This window comes from Homo sapiens, chromosome 12, assembly GCF_000001405.40.
Source record: "Homo sapiens chromosome 12, GRCh38.p14 Primary Assembly".
Taxonomy (NCBI): Eukaryota; Metazoa; Chordata; class Mammalia; order Primates; family Hominidae; genus Homo; species Homo sapiens.
Window position 1 is genome coordinate 24,195,414 of NC_000012.12, and position 17,675 is coordinate 24,213,088.

General features: G+C 37.8%; 1 protein-coding gene and 1 non-coding gene across 21 annotated transcripts in view; one reads left to right on the top strand and one right to left on the bottom strand.

Annotated features, from left to right (window-relative positions):
- SOX5 (SRY-box transcription factor 5) overlaps positions 1–17,675 on the bottom strand; it is a 1,033,147-nt gene that overhangs the window by 665,910 nt on the left and 349,562 nt on the right. The gene's annotated exons all lie outside the window — the stretch shown is intronic.
- MIR920 (microRNA 920) lies at positions 17,008–17,082 on the top strand. The gene has a single exon (NR_030625.1). It is a non-coding gene; the product is annotated as a microRNA 920 (primary transcript).

Below are 17,675 nucleotides of genomic sequence, written 5' to 3' on the forward strand. Positions count from 1 at the left end.
TAAGCTAATTTAGGCCCAAAGAATACTTTCACATGAAGTAGTCAAATAATTAGGCAAAAGTTTTTTTGTATTGATCATCTTTATCATACATATTTCCGTTGTACATATAACAAGCTTTGGCAAATTTAACATTAAGAATGGAAAGAGAAGAACTCAATATATCTGCCTAACTAGAATTTTATAAGTTATAAATAAAAGAGGAAGTATTGGACCTATGTGGTCCAAACTGCATGTCCCTCCTGTCTACATATGCTGATTCCCCCCGCTCTTATGGAGCTAAGTCAAATTTGAGAAGAATATACAGAATTTTATGAATCTGAAAAGTCTATAAATCCTAAAATTCAACCAACATTTTGAATCAATTAAAAAAATACATTGATGTTAAGGATTAATTAAGAACAACTTAATACTCTTAAGAAACATCCTAATTGCTTATATAGTCTCCATACATAAACTCTGTGCATGTGTGTGTGTCTGTGTGTGTGTTTTGAAACAGGGTCTCATTCTGTTGCCCAGGCTGGAGTGCAGTGGAGTTATCTTGGCTCACTGCAACCTCTGCCTCCCAGGTTCAAGCGATTCTCCTGCCTCAGACGCTGGAGTAGCTGGAATCACATACGTGCGCCACCACGCCTAGCTAATTTTTGTATTTTTAGTAGAGATGGGGTTTTGCCATGTTGGACAGGCTGGTCTTGAGTTTCTGGCCTCATGTGATCCGCCTGCATCAGCCTCCCAAAGTGCTGGGATTATAGGCGTGAGCCACCACGCCTGGCCCATTAACTGTGAATAAGTATTTATTTGGTTTGTGCCCAGCTTTGTACTATCTGCTGTGAAGCACGTGATTCTGAAATAAAGTAGTTGAAGATCGGTTTGTAATTAAAAAATCATATGTAAATAACACTCACAATGACATGATAAAACAGTAACAATGTACAAAAAGAAAACAGTATTGAGTTAGTGCTGAGTTAGAATTCCTGTGAATTATCACACCATTGTAATGTATTTTACTGAAATAAACTCTATGGACAGGTCTTGTATATACAACAGCATTTTCTAAATGGAGAAACTGGAGTAGCAAAAAAGATAAAGTTAACTTTTTTAAGGGGGGGTCAACCAGATGAAGAAGCCACACACTTTATATTTTACTACAGTCTTTAACCAATCCATCTCACTGCTTAAAAGTACCTCTCTTGTTTATATTCAAACTTTAGGGCCAGGCACGGTGGCTCATGCCTATAATCCCAACACATTGGGAGGCCAATGAGGGCTGTTCACTTGAGCCCAGGAGTTCAAGAACAGCCTGGGCAATATGGCAAAACTCCATCTCAACAAAAATACAAAAATGAGCCAGGCGTGGTGGTGCAAGCCTAGAGTCCCAACTACTCAGGAGGCTGAGTTGGGAGGATTGCTTGAGCCGGGGAGGTGGAGGTTGCAGTGAGTCGAGATCATACCACTGCACTCCAGCCTGGGTAACAGAGCTAAACCCTGTCTTGAAAAACAAAAAACAAAAACAAAAACAAACATTAGGATACAAAAGAATAAATAAGTTCATGGAATTTTAGCCTCCTGAAGTTAAAAACATACTTCTTCCTGCAGATAACATTCTGATTGACAATTTTTGCTTCACCAGGCTTGAAGAGGAAAAATGTACAACTCAGAATGGCCTAGCCTATAGGAAAACATTTCTATCCTCATAACTAACTGTTTGTCAATTAGCATTTTGGAAGGCAGAAAGAAGCTTCAATTGGTTGACATTTTCTCTAATCTTGGGTGATGCCTCAGGTTTTCATTTCCAGATCAATTTAATAGCCCCTTAAAAGCAGATCTGTGCCAAATATTTGCTGAAGACTCTATATAAAATATTCCGTCAGAAGATGAGTGCCCTTCCAGTCAAGAGATATATGATGTGGGCCTATATGTGTGTATTCTAATAAGCTTAACTGTGAAGGAAACCCTAGACAAAGGAAAATTTATGGTTGACTTTAAATTAAAAAAATATATATTCTCTATCCCTATTTTTATACTAAGACTGGAAAAGGCAGTCATACAGGAGATTAGGAGCTGTGGCAGAGAACACTAACTGGCTACCCAATACCCCTTCCCTGGCTCCTGCTTGACAAACAGCACCCTGCTTACAGCAATGAGATGTAAATGGAAGTGGGGGCGGGATACAGTGAAAACCTTTTAGAAGGGGACAGCCCTGACTGTCTTGGCCTTCCTGCTCTGTGCTTTGTGCTTCTCCCACTTCCTTCCTAGACACGAGCTAACACTGGTCTGCTGCAGCCCTACCAGCCCTCTTGTGAGCATTAGCATGAAGATGTGCCCCCAGTGTGGAGGAAGAGAGAGTTAGAAGTCTGGGTCCCTGATAGCATGAGGAGACAGCTGGCTTGGACTGCATCCGCGTATCCACTGTCACTCGGGTTCCTGTTACTTGAAGCTGAATACAATTGCTAAGTGATAGGGACTCACAGTTTGGTGTCAAATAAAATCCTGGTCTGCCCACTTATCATTGTATGCTCTTAGACACACACTCTCTTTCTCTGCATGAACTTGCTCATCTGTAAAATGAGGATAATAGTGATACCCATCTCAAAGGGCTGCACTGAGAACTCTGATAATTAACAAACTCCATCTAACACACATAAAACAAGATCTAAGTGCTTCATAATTATTTATTATTATTAATCTTATTGTGCTACTCACACTATAAGAGAGCAGCCCATCCATCGTTCAAAACTAGGCAAAAGTTAGCAATGCATGTGGTATGCAGGGAACACAGACCTATTACCACAATCGCTATCCAAAATGAGAACAGAAACAATTGTAAAAAGAAAGGAGAGGGAGGGGTTGGGGAGGGGGAGGGAATAATGGTTTAAATTTATAGCATTCTTTTCCACTTGGATAATGATTTGCTATTTTTCAAACAGATATTTGGGAAGTGATACACACTTCAAAGTCCTCTTTTTCATACAACTTAAACATTTTATTTCGAGTTGTTTATCTGGATCTCTCTATTGAGCTGTTTGTGGGTATGCTTCTATCTATAGTTTTAGAGAATAACAAAAAAACAATAAATTCCATGTGAACTCACTGTAAGCCCAGGAGGGCAGGGTATGTGTCACGTCTACTTGCCACTGAGACCTCTGCATGATGATATACGAACTAATAACCCGATCCATTAACCCTCTTCGTTCCACAGACAGTCTTTCACATTTGGGTCACAAGCAACCACAGGAAAAAGAAGAAAACAAAACAAAACTCCTGTGCTTTTACATATGAGAAATTACTGTTTATGTGTAATAGCAAAAGACTGTTAATGTTTTTGGCACTTTTGATTTAGGGAGAAGAAAGATTCACCAGGAAAAAGTGACCTTACATGCTAGTATGAGGTCACTACACTTTTAATTCCTGCAGGGCAAATGTAGAGTATTCAGAGGTTTGGGTGGGATAGAAAAATAATAAAAACCCTTTTATACTTGGGCTCTGGGCAAAATGAGAACTGATGGCCTGCTCCCCGTGTGGCGCTCCAGTGAGACGGCAGCCTTGCAGATATCCCATGACAAACTAAGGCAGGGAGAAAAGAGTACAGACGTGGCTGCACAAATGATCAAGGTCCGAGAGGCTGGGATGTCCCCTTTTCATCCGAATGGTGTGAAAGTTAGTCGAGGGAGAGCACTGTCGGCCTGATGAGGTCTCACTGAGGATTGTGGTAAGGATGCAGACATGAGCCAAAGCACGGCCTCTGTGTCTGAGATCATGAGAGATGCCAGCAGGGATGGATGCCCATGATTAAAGACCATGACAGGACAACGGTACAATGCGTCTGTTCCAGAATAAGATAGGTGAGGGCTGGAAAGTAGACATCACTTCTCACCATTTTGCTCACCCCTGTACTGTTAAATGTATCAATATCTAAGTCCCAGCACCAAAATGTCGCAGTAATTACTTCCTGACCCACAATTAAAGCATGCTGCATTTTTCAGTCATAACAGCCAATTCTTTCTGAGTCATACATTGAACCAATTAAACTTAGAATCTCTATGTCTGAACGGATGACTTCTAATGAAAAGGGTGAAAGCTTCTAACCTCAACATCCAATCATATCTCTGTTTGGTAAATCAGGGGGAGAAGTTCAACTGAATGGCTTGGAATAGAGCCCATCCCAGCAGATTGTGCTGGGTAGAAATAACACTAGTCTGTCTAGGTAAGATCAGTGCCAATGGTTCCAACTAAAATTAGAAAAAAGGAGACAGTACCTTGGCTCATGCTTATGTTGGAGACAAGACTCTAACTCCTGCTAAAGCCAAATGATGGCAATTCAATTCCTGCCTGCCAGTTGCAAATCCCTACACTACCACTGCAGTATTATCAAAAGACGTTTGCAATCCAGTGCACCTAACAAGAGAGGTGATTTCTTAGATTAGTCACTTAGTGGGTTAGCAACTCAAGAGTTAGTAACTCAAATGTGTGCATACATTTATTCTGACAGAAGTAAGTAAGTTCCAAAACTATAGGCAGATTGCTGAAAAGAAAAAAAAAATCAGTAGAATCTTACTAATTTGAAATAGATAAAGGATATTATTCATTTATTAGTTTTAAAGTGTAAAACTGGGGGAAAAATATCAAGGATTGAATGAACCCACTCCTTCCACACAACATCATCAAAAGACCCACAACACTTCTCATGCATTTCAACAAATACAATTTTGCTCTAATCTCATATGTGTCATAAGGCACTATGCCATAGTGAAAAGAAAACTGGGCTAGGAATCAGGAAATCTGGGTACTTTTTCTGGCTCTGTCACTTATTAACTGTGTAAAATGATGCAAAATTTAACCTCTCTGAGCTTCAGTTCCTTGTCCACAAAAGCAGTGACTTAGATAAGGTTAGCCAGCTCTTAGAGTCCTTACTACTCTCTCAATCATTGGTGATTAGATTAAATTTTAAGTTCTGTAAGATCTTTATAATACATCTTAAGTCTTTTATAAATCTTGGGTTTGAAAGTCAAATATACATATACTTACTATGTGTGCATATACATGAATGATAAGGAACTCTGATTGTAATAGTAAAGTGTTACTTTTTTTTTTTTAATTTGATCTACGCTGCCGTGAAAACACGCACACTCATATATAGGGACAACATTTGGGTGTCTGTGGATACTGTAACCTTTTTGGCAAATGTCAAAGCTATATAGAAACTCAAATCTCATTCAAAGTATTCTTCAAAGAAGTACAATATCTCTGGACAGAAGGATCTTCTCTAATGCCCCAGAGTAATTTAGGAAGCTAAAACTCTGGCAGGTATTGCAGGTGCCAGATGAGACAACACAATCAGAATGCTCACCCTAAGGCCTCTGCCATTATTTAAAAGACATTTTCCTTCCACACAGGTAAGATAATTCTACCATACTTCCTAATTCCACCTAGAGAATTCTCAAACAATCCACAGAATTTTATTCAAATTGCCCTTATGCTCAAAATGCTAATTGATGTCTCAGCAGAGCACTGGAATTCAGTTGCTGCTCAAGGTTCCTTTGGATCTGACGTCCTCCACTGGTACCAGACCTGGGAACCAGACCTCCACCTCCCTGGTCAGGGAGGAACTATCACAGAACTATACACCCAACAATTCATAACATGGTCAATAGGAAAACCAATTCCCTGAAATTGTGGACAGCTAGAGTTCTGGTTTTACTTAGGCACTAACTCTTGTGATTCTGGGCAAGTCCCAGAATCTCTCTGTTAAATCATTTACTTTCATACTGATGCTTCTTATATGTACTGTAAGAGTTATATACTCCCAAGTCCAGCAAAAGTATTTCCACTCCATGTTGTGCGCTCATGTGGAAAGAAAATTTTATATTTTGTTATGTTTTAGGTCACAGACTCCTTTGAAAATCTGATAAAATCACATGATTTGTATCCTTTTCTCAGGAAAAAAAAAAATGCACCTGCATAGTCTTATACACAAACATTTCATGTACTTCTAGGGAGTTTCCTGATGCTAAAAGGTTCAAGGACTCAAATGAATACCCTGGTCTACAGTGCAAGTCCATTCTCTACTAGCAGTATAATTTGAGAAACTCTGAATTTCAGTTTCCTCATCTATAAAATATAGTTAATGATGTCAATCTCTCTGCTGACATCTTGTAACTATTTTGAACACAAAAAAACTTTAACATCAATGTGTGTGAAAACAAGCTGGTGTTGCACAGAACTCTGCTAACTCTCAAGTTGCTATCGATCCTTTACCCTAGTCCTTTAATGTTGTCACAGAGTATTAGTGAGTACTACCCCCATCTCACTGGCACCATCAAGCTTTGGGAGGTGTGAGTCATCAGACATTGTTTTTAACTTAACCTGGGCCCTTGGAGACTGACTGGATGGCTGCACCGATACTGTGCCCCTTACTTCCTTTCCAGCTTTTGTTTGATTACTGATCTCTTAACACACATCGATGGAACTTAATGTACTAGCTCTGCTTTCCCTCTATGAAAACATTTGTATAGCTGGAGTTTTACATCTACCAGAATACACTTGGCTCTTCATTGGCATTAAACCTTGATCTTCACTTGAGTGCTTCTTAAAATTATTGTTTGTGGGCTCCATACTTGACATCTCTGCTCTCCTCCATTGGTGTGAATAATTACAAACAGTCTTGCTAGATCATTATTTCTATGTTATTGGCAAATAGACTAGCAAAATATAAAAGTATAGAAAGTATCCCCGGGGTTTACACAGTGGGTGACAGAGCAAGTTAACAAAATAGGACCCAGTTCACAGTGTAACATACCTATCACTCTATTACAATTCTCCTTTCTTCCTAGAGTCTATTGAAGTCATCCTTTTATATAGCAATGGATAATAAAGATGAATGGATAATACATACATACATTTTATTTAAGGCACACAATTTTTATCTTCCAATTTAACTTTTCATTCTGAAATAATTTCAGGCTTAAAAAATGCAAAAATAGTACAGAGTGTCCATATATTCTTTACTCAGGTTCCCACAAATTAACATATTATAGAACCAATAATACAATCATCAAAACCAAAAGATTAACATTGATACATTCATACATGATTTGATGATCTATGGCCCTCATTGAAATATCAACAATTGACCCACTAATGTGTTTTTCTTGGACTATGAGCCAATATTTAGTTGTCATGTTTTCTTCATCTCTTTCCATCTGGGACAGTTCTTCAATCTTTCTTTGTTTTTAATGACCTTCACACTTTTTAAGGGTCCTGCCAGGTTATTTTGTAGTATGTCCCTTTTGGGTTGTCTGATATTTCTTCGTGATTAAATTCATGTTATGCACTTTTGGCAAGAACATGACAGAAATTACTTTTTGTGCCTTTCTCAGTGAATCATATGAGAGGCACATGATGGTGATATATCTCATTACTGGTGATGTTAACTTTGATCATTTGTTTTAGGTGGTGTCTGCCAGGTTTTTCCACTGTAAAGTTACTACTTTCCTTTTATAATTAATAAGTATTTTGAGAGGAGATATGTTGATACTCTGTAAATATCCTATTTATCATTATATTTTCACCCACAAATTTAGCATCCATTTGATGATTCTTGCCTGAAACTATTATGACTGTGGTGTTTACCAAATGGTGACTTTCTATTTCCATCATTCCTCTTAATTGGCATTCTTACTGTTAAGAAAGAGCTTTCTTTTCTCCCTCACTTATTTATTTGTTCAATACTTTCTTACAACCTTATGGACTATATTGAGAATATCCTATTACTTTCATTATTTTCTTGCTCAAATGTCCCGAATTTGGAAATAGGGAGCTACTTCAGGGTGGATCCTGCGTTATTTCAATGTTTTCATCATTGTTTACTCCTTCCCTACTTTCTGGGACCAAAAGATGTTCCAGACTTTTATGACATGTTTCTGGTTCTGGCCCTGGAATCATCCATTTCTACAAGGATTCTTGGTTTCTTTTGCTAGAGAATGATATTTAGAAACCAAGAACTAGGTACCAAATGTGCTCACCACCACTGGGGTGTTAATGCTTCTAGGCCCTCTCAGCAGATAGAGCTGGGAATATTTAAATGAACACACGCATATACTCCCATTTCATTATTTGTATATCTGTGATACATATTTTTCTTGATATCTAAGATAAAAATCTAATAACCAGGCTTCATTCTAGCCCTCTTCCTTTCTTTGACAGAGAGAAAATAGCCCTCATCCACAATCCTAGGAGACATTTGAATCAGTTTTGGAAATGCTTAATCTCACCCCTGTAAAAAATTGAATCACTCACCCATATCTTGTGAAATACAAATATTCTGATAAGAGTACAACAGTTCTTTTTTGTTCATTTTTAAAAAATTTTAGAGTATAAACGCCAATTACTGTTTGGCAGTTACTTAGATTAGCTCTTTTTTATCCACTTCCTTCATCTGTAATTCCTAAGAATATGGTTAAGTTTTCTTGCTATTTTTTAATATTTCATGTGGGGTACCCTGAATACTCTAATTCACTTCAATTATTTACGTTTTGAGTATGTGAAATATTAACACAGTTCCAAAAATCAGAACTACACCAAAAAAGTCCATTCAGATAAATGTCACTCCCTATCACCTCTTCACTCTTGCTCCCTATTCCCATTCTCTCTATCCCCTTCCCCTGGGCCCAACTAGTGTAATTAATCAGTTTCATTAATTTCTGGTTTGTCCTTCCTATTCTTGGTTCCAATTAGCAGATACATACATACTTTCTTATTTTACTTCCATTCCAGATGATGTTCTTCATTCTGTTTTCTTCAACTAGCCTCCTCTGCATGAACATTTAGATAGTTTTTAATATGTTACAATTATAAACAATGTCATGATGAATAATCTTGGGTATATAGTTTTATTTTTCCATTATTATTATTATTATTAATTATTATTATTATTATTTGAGATGGACTTCCACTCTGTCGCCCAGGCTGGAGTGCAGTGGCACAATTCCGGCTCACTGCAACCTCCACCTCTTGGGTTCAAGTGATTTTCATGCCTCGGCTTCCTGAGTAACTGGGATTATGGGTGGCCACTACCATGTCTGACTAATTTTTGTATTTTTAGTAGAGACAAGGTTTTACCATGTTAGCCAGGCTGGTCTCAAACTCCTGCCCTCAAGTGATCCACCTGCCTCAGCCTCCCAAAGTGTTAAGATTACAGGCGTGAGCTACCACCCCCAACCCAGGCTAGTTTTAATATTGTTGATATTGTGTCTTCAGGATTAATTCCGAAAAGTGGCATTGCTGGGTCAAAAGGTTCAGTGTGTATGTAGATTTGTTTAGACATCACCAACTTCTCTCCCAAAGGCTTGTATCACTTTGCATTCCCATCAGCAATGTATGAGAATAAAGCCTGTGTTTCTAACTCTCCCTGAAATCATTTTAGCAAGATGCTGAGCAGCATGTGAATGGTTAATTCATGTTTACCTCCTCTCACTGCCTATAGATATCATCTAACCATGGTGCTAACAATTAAGGAAAAGGTTTACATAAATGTAAAGGAAGAAGAACAGAAAAAACAAGGAGCTGGGAAAAAAATCACTCTTGGAAAAAAAATAGTTGGCTTTGATCACAACAGCTCAGGATGAAACTATACAGCTTAGCGTCTTCTCTTTGAAAGCTTAACAAATCAAGAAGATTTTGCAGTAATTTTTCCCATGGCCAAGATTAAGCCGTGCCTTCTTTATGTCCCCAAGATCTATACTCACATTACAACAAGTGGCATACAGTACTTAAGTTATCTGCTTAAATGCCTGTCTTGCATTAGGCTTTACACTTTTGAAGTAGACACCATATATTACTCAATATACTTATCCCAACTCCTAGCACAATGTTCAACATTGTGCTTTCCCTGATAAAATTTTGTTAATAGCTCATTCAAATATAAATGAGCATTTCCTGAGTGCTGCTTCTGTGCCAGACACCACCCCAAATATTTTACATGTATCATCTCATTACATCCTCAAAACAATCATACAAGGCTCGTGTTATTCTTATACTAATTTTATAGATGAGGAAACAAAGGCTTGACAAAGATGACAAATAACTCGTCTAAGGTGATAGATCATGATAAAAGGGAGTTGAGTGGAATGTGAACTGATGTCTGTCTCATTCCAAAGAGCAGCAGAGAGAAATAGGAACCTTCCTCATACCCATTGCATCCCACTTAGATAAGCAAGTTCTCACTCTGCCTCCTGTAAGGACAGAGCTAATTCTATATTAATTTAAGGATTTCATGCTAGTAGGAAGGCAAGAAAAGGCGGTGGCTTCAATGGTTTCCAAATAGACTCTTAAGAAAGCTTTCTGAGCTTTTTACCTTTTGGTGAACAAAGCCCTGGCTCCTCGGATACATGCACACATTTATTATACCCTTGTGACTGTGGTTTACGTACAAGCATCCTATTAAAAGAGCTTTTAAAAGACTGAAATTTGATTTCCTTTTGGACAGCAAAGGGAAAAATAAAAAGATGTTCTTTGCCCTCCTGCTCTAATCTGTGTTTGCAAGTCAAGTCTGTAGTTCTCAGAGCTCTCTCACCAGCTTGCTACATTTCCATAAATCTGTCCAAGAATACAACATTGTTCACCCAAAAATGTAATATCAACTGTAAAACACATGCACATGATACCTGGGTCCAATCTGCCCTCATTTTGTATATAAGTAAAAATAAGCGCTGCTTTAACTCTTAGAAATGACAATATCATATTATTTAGATAAGAGCCAAAAAATCATTATTGAAATTCTGATAGCATTTGCCTTACTGGTAGAAGAAAATTACCTGTAATACATAGTTTAAATAATTACTTTTAAACAAAAGCTTCTTTTCTGCATTGCGTATTTATCTTTTGAGACCAACTCAGCAGGACTATGTATTTTATTAAAATTGCCTTCAGACTGCTAATGGCAGGGCGTCTGTTAGCACAGGAAAAGTGATGGCAGTTTGACTCCTATTCCTAATATTGGGAGTTAGTCCAGACACTTAAGAGCCAGAACTCTGCTGTGCATTTGACTATGTTATCAACACTTTACTTGCTAATGATACTAGTGACAGCATTTCAGTATGATGGGTCAGACTTCAACAGGAAAGCTTGTAATTACGCTTACGGAACCAAAGAAACCCCCCAAAAAACATCAACCGCCTCCCCCCAAGAATCCTTTTTATCAGCAGATCCACTGGTGTACAGCTTCGTGACTGGGAATTATTTGGTAAGCTTCTGTTCAATACTGGTTTCCTTCTCCACCTTCCACCTTGGATGGGGAGCCTCCATCAGCACCTGATCTCTCCCCATTCAGAAAATGACAACTGAAAGCTTTCCTGTGCAACTGTGTGCCAACTACCCAGCAGAAGGTCACACTGATGACTTCCCTGTGGCTTGTATTTTCCCCAGGGAAATCCACAGCCAGAGCTGACTGCTTGCCAAATAAGCTGAGTGCCACAAACCAGTAGTGCTAAGATCCTCCCATCCTTCTTGATGGGAAGCAGTAAGCAACTGTGCCGAACACCTGTGTCAGCTCCTATTTCTGGGGACACCCCAGGCAAGCACTCATTCAGCATTCAGGGAATAGGGCTCCCCTCTTCTAACGAGCACTTCTGTCCAAAAACTTCTCAGTAGTCATATGATAATAGTTATGTTTGGCAGATCTCTGTAACATCAGTGTGTTTAACTACTGTTAAAGAGGATGATTTAAATCATTTGTGAGTTAAATATTTTACTGTAAGCGTCTAAATGAAATCAGCAGAAAGATCCTTTTCTGTTATTGTAAAAGTAAAGGCAACATTCGCCATCACTTCCTTTTGGAGCTATCTCAACCAACTTGAGGAAATGTAGTCTGAGATGTAAATGGCATGACTCTATAGATGGATGGGATCTAAATCAATCAATATTTTTCCTATAACCGAGAACAATATCGCCACGTTCAACCAATGAAAATACTAGCCAAGAAATGAGATGGAGGAGAAGTCAGGCAATATAATAAGGGTGCCTGTCACAGAGTAAGACTCAGTAAGAATATATGAATGAATAAATGAATGAATACACAAACAACTTTTGATACTTCAAAAAAATCCATAATGTAGAAATGATTATATCCTAGTGAGCCAATAAAGCCTGCATTTAGTGCTTACTGTTTGCAGACCACTCAGGAGGGCCCTGGGCAGATATTAAAGATAAATAAATGAATAAACAAACCAAATGCTACTTCAAGACCATATAGTTTGTAAAGCAGCAAAGCTACAACTCAAACTTGAGAGTTTCTTCTATTTCCACTATTCCATGCGATCTTCAAAATTCTACATGGCATTCAGCACCCTCGTCTTGCAGGCTATCCCCTCAGTCTAGATTGCCCTTCTTCCACTAAGGAGGCAACTTTCAGCATCAAGTTTAAATTCATATAGCTGCATCGTCAACTCTCGTGCCATGTTCCAGAATCTCCAATGTGGAATACTTACTTCCTCAATATATCAGTATTGGTAACTCAAATATAAAGACTCTCAAAACAATTCATGCCCTCTGACAAAAATTTTTAAAAAAGAATAAATCAGTAAAAACAAACTGCTTTTTGTGATTTCCTATATCTGTGAATTGCAAGGCCTTTATTTCCATTATTCAAAGTTGAAATTGATCCCTTAGCACTCTAGGAGGACATCAAACCCTATGGATTCCATCTTCAGATTTCTGCTTGTATCTGCACCCTGGTGTTACCACTCACGCCTGACTTTCCTGAACTCTTACTTCATGATTGCATTAGTATTCTATCTTCCTTCTTATAGCCATACAGTTTATAAATCAGTCAGCCTCAGAGTGACATCATAAGAATTAATTAATCCAAGGCACAGCCCTAATCATCACCCTACTTTCCCAAGACAAACAAAAAGTTTTAATGACTCCCCAAGTCCTGTGGAGTTAGGACAAACCACTTAGCATAAGATTCAAAGTCTTCTTATTATTTGAACCCAACTTACCTTTATAGTCACTATTTTCCTTTTGTATCCCCTGTGTTGCATCCAAACTCAAGCCCAAGAGGAACATAAGACACCAGAGCTTTAAATATATCCTTGGCAATCTTCCCACTGTCCAACATCTCTGCTGGGCAAAATCATATGCATCCTTTAAAGCCCAGCTCAAATACTGCCTTGTCTATGGAACTTTCTCTTTTCTATGAAGCCTTATACACTGTCACCTTGTAGATCTTTTGCAGCCTTTATGGCATTGGATTTCACATCGTATTCATTTGGCTACAGCTCTTCACGCCAAATTTATTCAACACATGCTATTAGAAAGCACTTTAAATAGTGTGTTAGGGATGAAGTGGAGAACAAGACAGGTTTACTTCCAAGTGAAAAGCAGAGGGAAGATAGTCCTTCAAAAACAACCAAAAAAATGGGGTGAGGGTTGGAAAGTCATTCATGCAGCTGAATGAAACTGAGGATGAAATAAGACAATGACTAAAAAATACCTTTTGGATTTAGCATGATAACGGTTATTGATGATCTTAGCAAGATTTGGCATGACAGAAGCGGAAGAGTGTAGAGGATTGAGGAGGAGAAAAGAAAATGACTGCAATTTAAGATAAGGCTTTAGGGAAATTTGTACATGAAGGGAGTGGTAGCTAAAGGAAAAAGTAAAATTTAAAAAAAGTTTTTATTTGTTTTTAGATGAGAAATTTGAGCATTTAAATATTTTGCTTCTAGTAATGCAGAAGAAGTTGAAGGTACTGGAGAAGGGAATCAAAGTTTGTTGAACAGGCAATGGGTAAGCATAGGTGGAGGAACTAACTCTTATGGGAGTGGAGAATTTCCTCCACTGTCTGTGGCAGAAAGTGACAGGAATCACTGCAGACTCAAAAACAATCTTAGATGAATATGTGAAGTGGAAGTAGGCATGCCCTCTCCAAAAAATAATGTCAAAGAATAATTTCCTTATTTATCAGTTGAATGATAAAAATGATTCTTATTCTTATGACTGAAAAGGAAAGAATTTAGAATAATATTTTTTAGGAAAATAATATTAAATATTCATAAGCAGGTATGTATGTATGTATTTTTGTTGCATGAATATTCTGATAGGCAAATCATGAAAATCTAAGCCTAGATAACTTAGGTAGAGTTTTAAAATAGTTTCTAATGCATTAATTAGAAATGTGAAAACTTTTTGGTAAATACTTATTTGGCAATTGAAAACTGCTGCCACAAGATTGCTAGTAGAAGGCACTCCCCACCTCCCAAATTACTTTTTAAATATTTATTTTGATTCTTCACATGATAGAAATGACACTTTTAGAAATAATCCTTCCGGCCGGGCGCGGTGGCTCACGCCTGTAATCCCAGCACTTTGGGAGGCCGAGGCGGGCGGATCACGAGGTCAGGAGATCGAGACCATCCTGGCTAAAACGGTGAAACCCCGTCTCTACTAAAAATACAAAAAATTAGCCGGGCGTAGTGGCGGGCGCCTGTAGTCCCAGCTACTTGGGAGGCTGAGACAGGAGAATGGCATGAACCCGGGAGGCGGAGCTTGCAGTGAGCCGAGATCCCGCCACTGCACTCCAGCCTGGGCGACAGAGCGAGACTCCGTCTCAAAAAAAAAAAAAAAAAAAAAAAAAAAAAGAAATAATCCTTCCTTCCAAGTATCAATAATATCTACTTTAACCTAATAATTTTCTGAAAATATATATGGATGTTATCCTCTGTTATTTATATGAAACCATATCCCTTATTTTCTCATTTTGTATTATAAATGGTTACTTCTAATGTAAGTAACTCTTTATTCACCCATTTTCTCTTTATTACCTAATATGTGTACAATGGCTTGACAAATGTGAAGGAACTGCAGCAATAACAACACTGCACTTCTCCCATAGGTCATGGAGGAGGCAAACAGAGGTCAAAGATGGCAAGTCACCCAGCTAGTAAGTTTCAGAGCTGCCTCCAGAATTCATGCCTGCTAATTCATACTAAATTGATTTGTTTCAACTACTCTGTCTTTCCTGCTCATAAATAGTCTCATGGATTGGGATAATTATAATAAAAGAGTTACATAATTTTCAAACATCTTCTCTTTCAAATAGGAGATAAAATTCAGGACTTCTTTCTGGACTTACAGAAAGTTATGTGGTTAGGGTTGAAATGATAAATGGCAAACAAATGAGAAATTCAGCTGTGCCAAGTAACTAACTGAATGCACACAATTTTTAAATATTATATATCATTATCATTAAGGTCCCTATTATAAAACAATGTTATTATACAAAGCCAAAAACCGTAATTCAAACTCAAGAGAATTCTGTGAATTAAAGACATGGAAAAGAAAAAGGATAGCTGTATTATCTAACATTAGCCCCTTGAACACAATCATCAGTCAATATCCTGGTTAGACAATGTTGCCCTAATCATTATTAAATCTATTTTTACTCATAATTTAGATTCTGTCTATAAAGGGACATTTTTTAAATGATGTACACAACTTGTAAGTGAGACTGATCCTTAAAACATATGAACCATAACATGCTCCTCATCTGCTAAGATTCCTTTAATGATCTCCATCTCCCTCAGAATAATAGTCAAGGTCCTATTATGGTCTACCAGGCTGTAAATGATGAACACCACTCACCCTCCATAGCGTCATCTCTCACTTGTCTGCTCCTGTCTTCCTGCCACTGCCCTTGCCATTCCTTCAACACACCAAGCACACTCTTCATACTGACTCTTCCTGTTGAATGTACCTCTCTTCCCCCACATTTTGAAATTGTTCTCTTACTCCATTCAGTCCTCTATTCCATTCTCTCCTTATCAAAGAGCCTTTCCCTAGACAGTGTATCTGAGGAGGTATTTCAGTGTTCTCTAGTATCTCTGCTTTATTTTTCTTCTTAGTACTTATCCCCACTGACATACACATCAAAATCTTCACTTTATGTTTTCTTCCATAGGAATGAAAGCTCTGGGAGAGTAGGAATTTTCCTTGTATGAATAAATGAATTAATGAATGGATAATCATCTTTTTATTTCATCTAGCTAAACAGAAAACTTCTCCAGGGAAATGACTCTATCAAAAACATTTTTAAGTTCTTGATTTCTTTGAATATTAGTATAATCCAAAGTGAAGTGTTAGTACCAATAGCATTCTTTATCAAATGATAAGTTGGCAAAATGGCAAATATGATGGTATTTTTATGTGTGTGCACAATGTAGTATACAGAATGATTTGTGTTCCATAACCTGTGAGGTAGCATAATGTAGTAGACCTGCATCATGCCAAGAAACATAGATTTAGTTCTGTTACTAATGTTCCATGTGACAGAGGAGAGTTATTTAGACTTGTGAAATAAGTTGATTGGACCAAGTTTCTTTCTGTCTCATAAGACTACAGGGATCTATGAGATGTTTGTCCCTTCCTTCTTTATTTTGCTTCCAAACATGTGAAAGCCAAACAACAAGTGTATTCAATTTAAGGCCAATATTTATATAATTGTTGGATGACAAGAACATCCACAACGTTTAGCTTCAACTTATTTGGTTTTAATGTTTATTTCCATAATATTTGCAAACTAAAAATTTGGGAATGTTTATTATCAGAATACTCTTTATCAAAGTATCATTGAAGAGTGGTTCTTAACTCTGCAAGAATCAGTGCAGACACACTTACTTTGGCGTATCATTTTAAATACAGCTTTTTGCAGGACTCTTACCATTTAGCTAAAAGCAGAGAGTTAAGCATATGCATTGCATGAAGATATAGTCGAAATTTATCTTCCCTTTAAGCGGGTAAGGAGTGTTCTCTCAAGGTACATGCCAATAAAAATGTGTCCAATCCCTAATGTCCTAATGTTCATGCTAAAACATAACAAAATCTCTGAGGCATCCAGATAGAATAACTTTAAGCTTAGTTCCTTTAGGAGTAAGTCATTTTAATTGAAGAGATCTGATCACACTGAAGGACAAAGACATTTATCTCTCTGTATAATGAAAACTGAAAAAGCCACTGGTAGTTGTTCTACAGAAGACCTGGATGTGTAGGAGCTAAGACACACTCCAGGGGAGCTGTGGAAGCAGTAACACGGGAGGGGTTACAAGGAAGGAAGGATTACAAGGAAGGAGGGGACCACCAAGTCTTCACTCATAACTAAGCAATAATAGTGAGAGTTGTGAGCATTGTTGAAACAACCAAGACACTTCCCTGGACCCAGGAATGAACACACAGCCATTAGCCACAATCATGGCAATGGGGACTTCAAAGGCCAGTGTGGCTCTAGCTTACTGAGAAACGTGACTAAAACTAACCTTGCACAATGACTGCTGAATGCTCCCAGGAGACTCTTTGACTATTGAGATCTTTTATTTACATAGAAATTGATTTAATTAACTCTCATTTCATACATGGTAGTCAATATTCTCTGGTTACTATTAGCGTTGGCAAACAGATTGACTCTGAAGAGTGTCAAGAGCTTTTAGAGGTGGACACCAGCACAGAGTACATGGCAGAGAAGAGAAGAAACTCGATTTTCATGACCTGGGTGCTCCTCCCTACAATTACATATTTATTAACATTCTACATGTTTTAAGAATTTGATTCTTAAAAGTCATTAAGGGAAAGTCATTAAGAAGTTTCACTTCAAAACAGTTTATACAAGGAAAAAAATATAGAAAAAATAT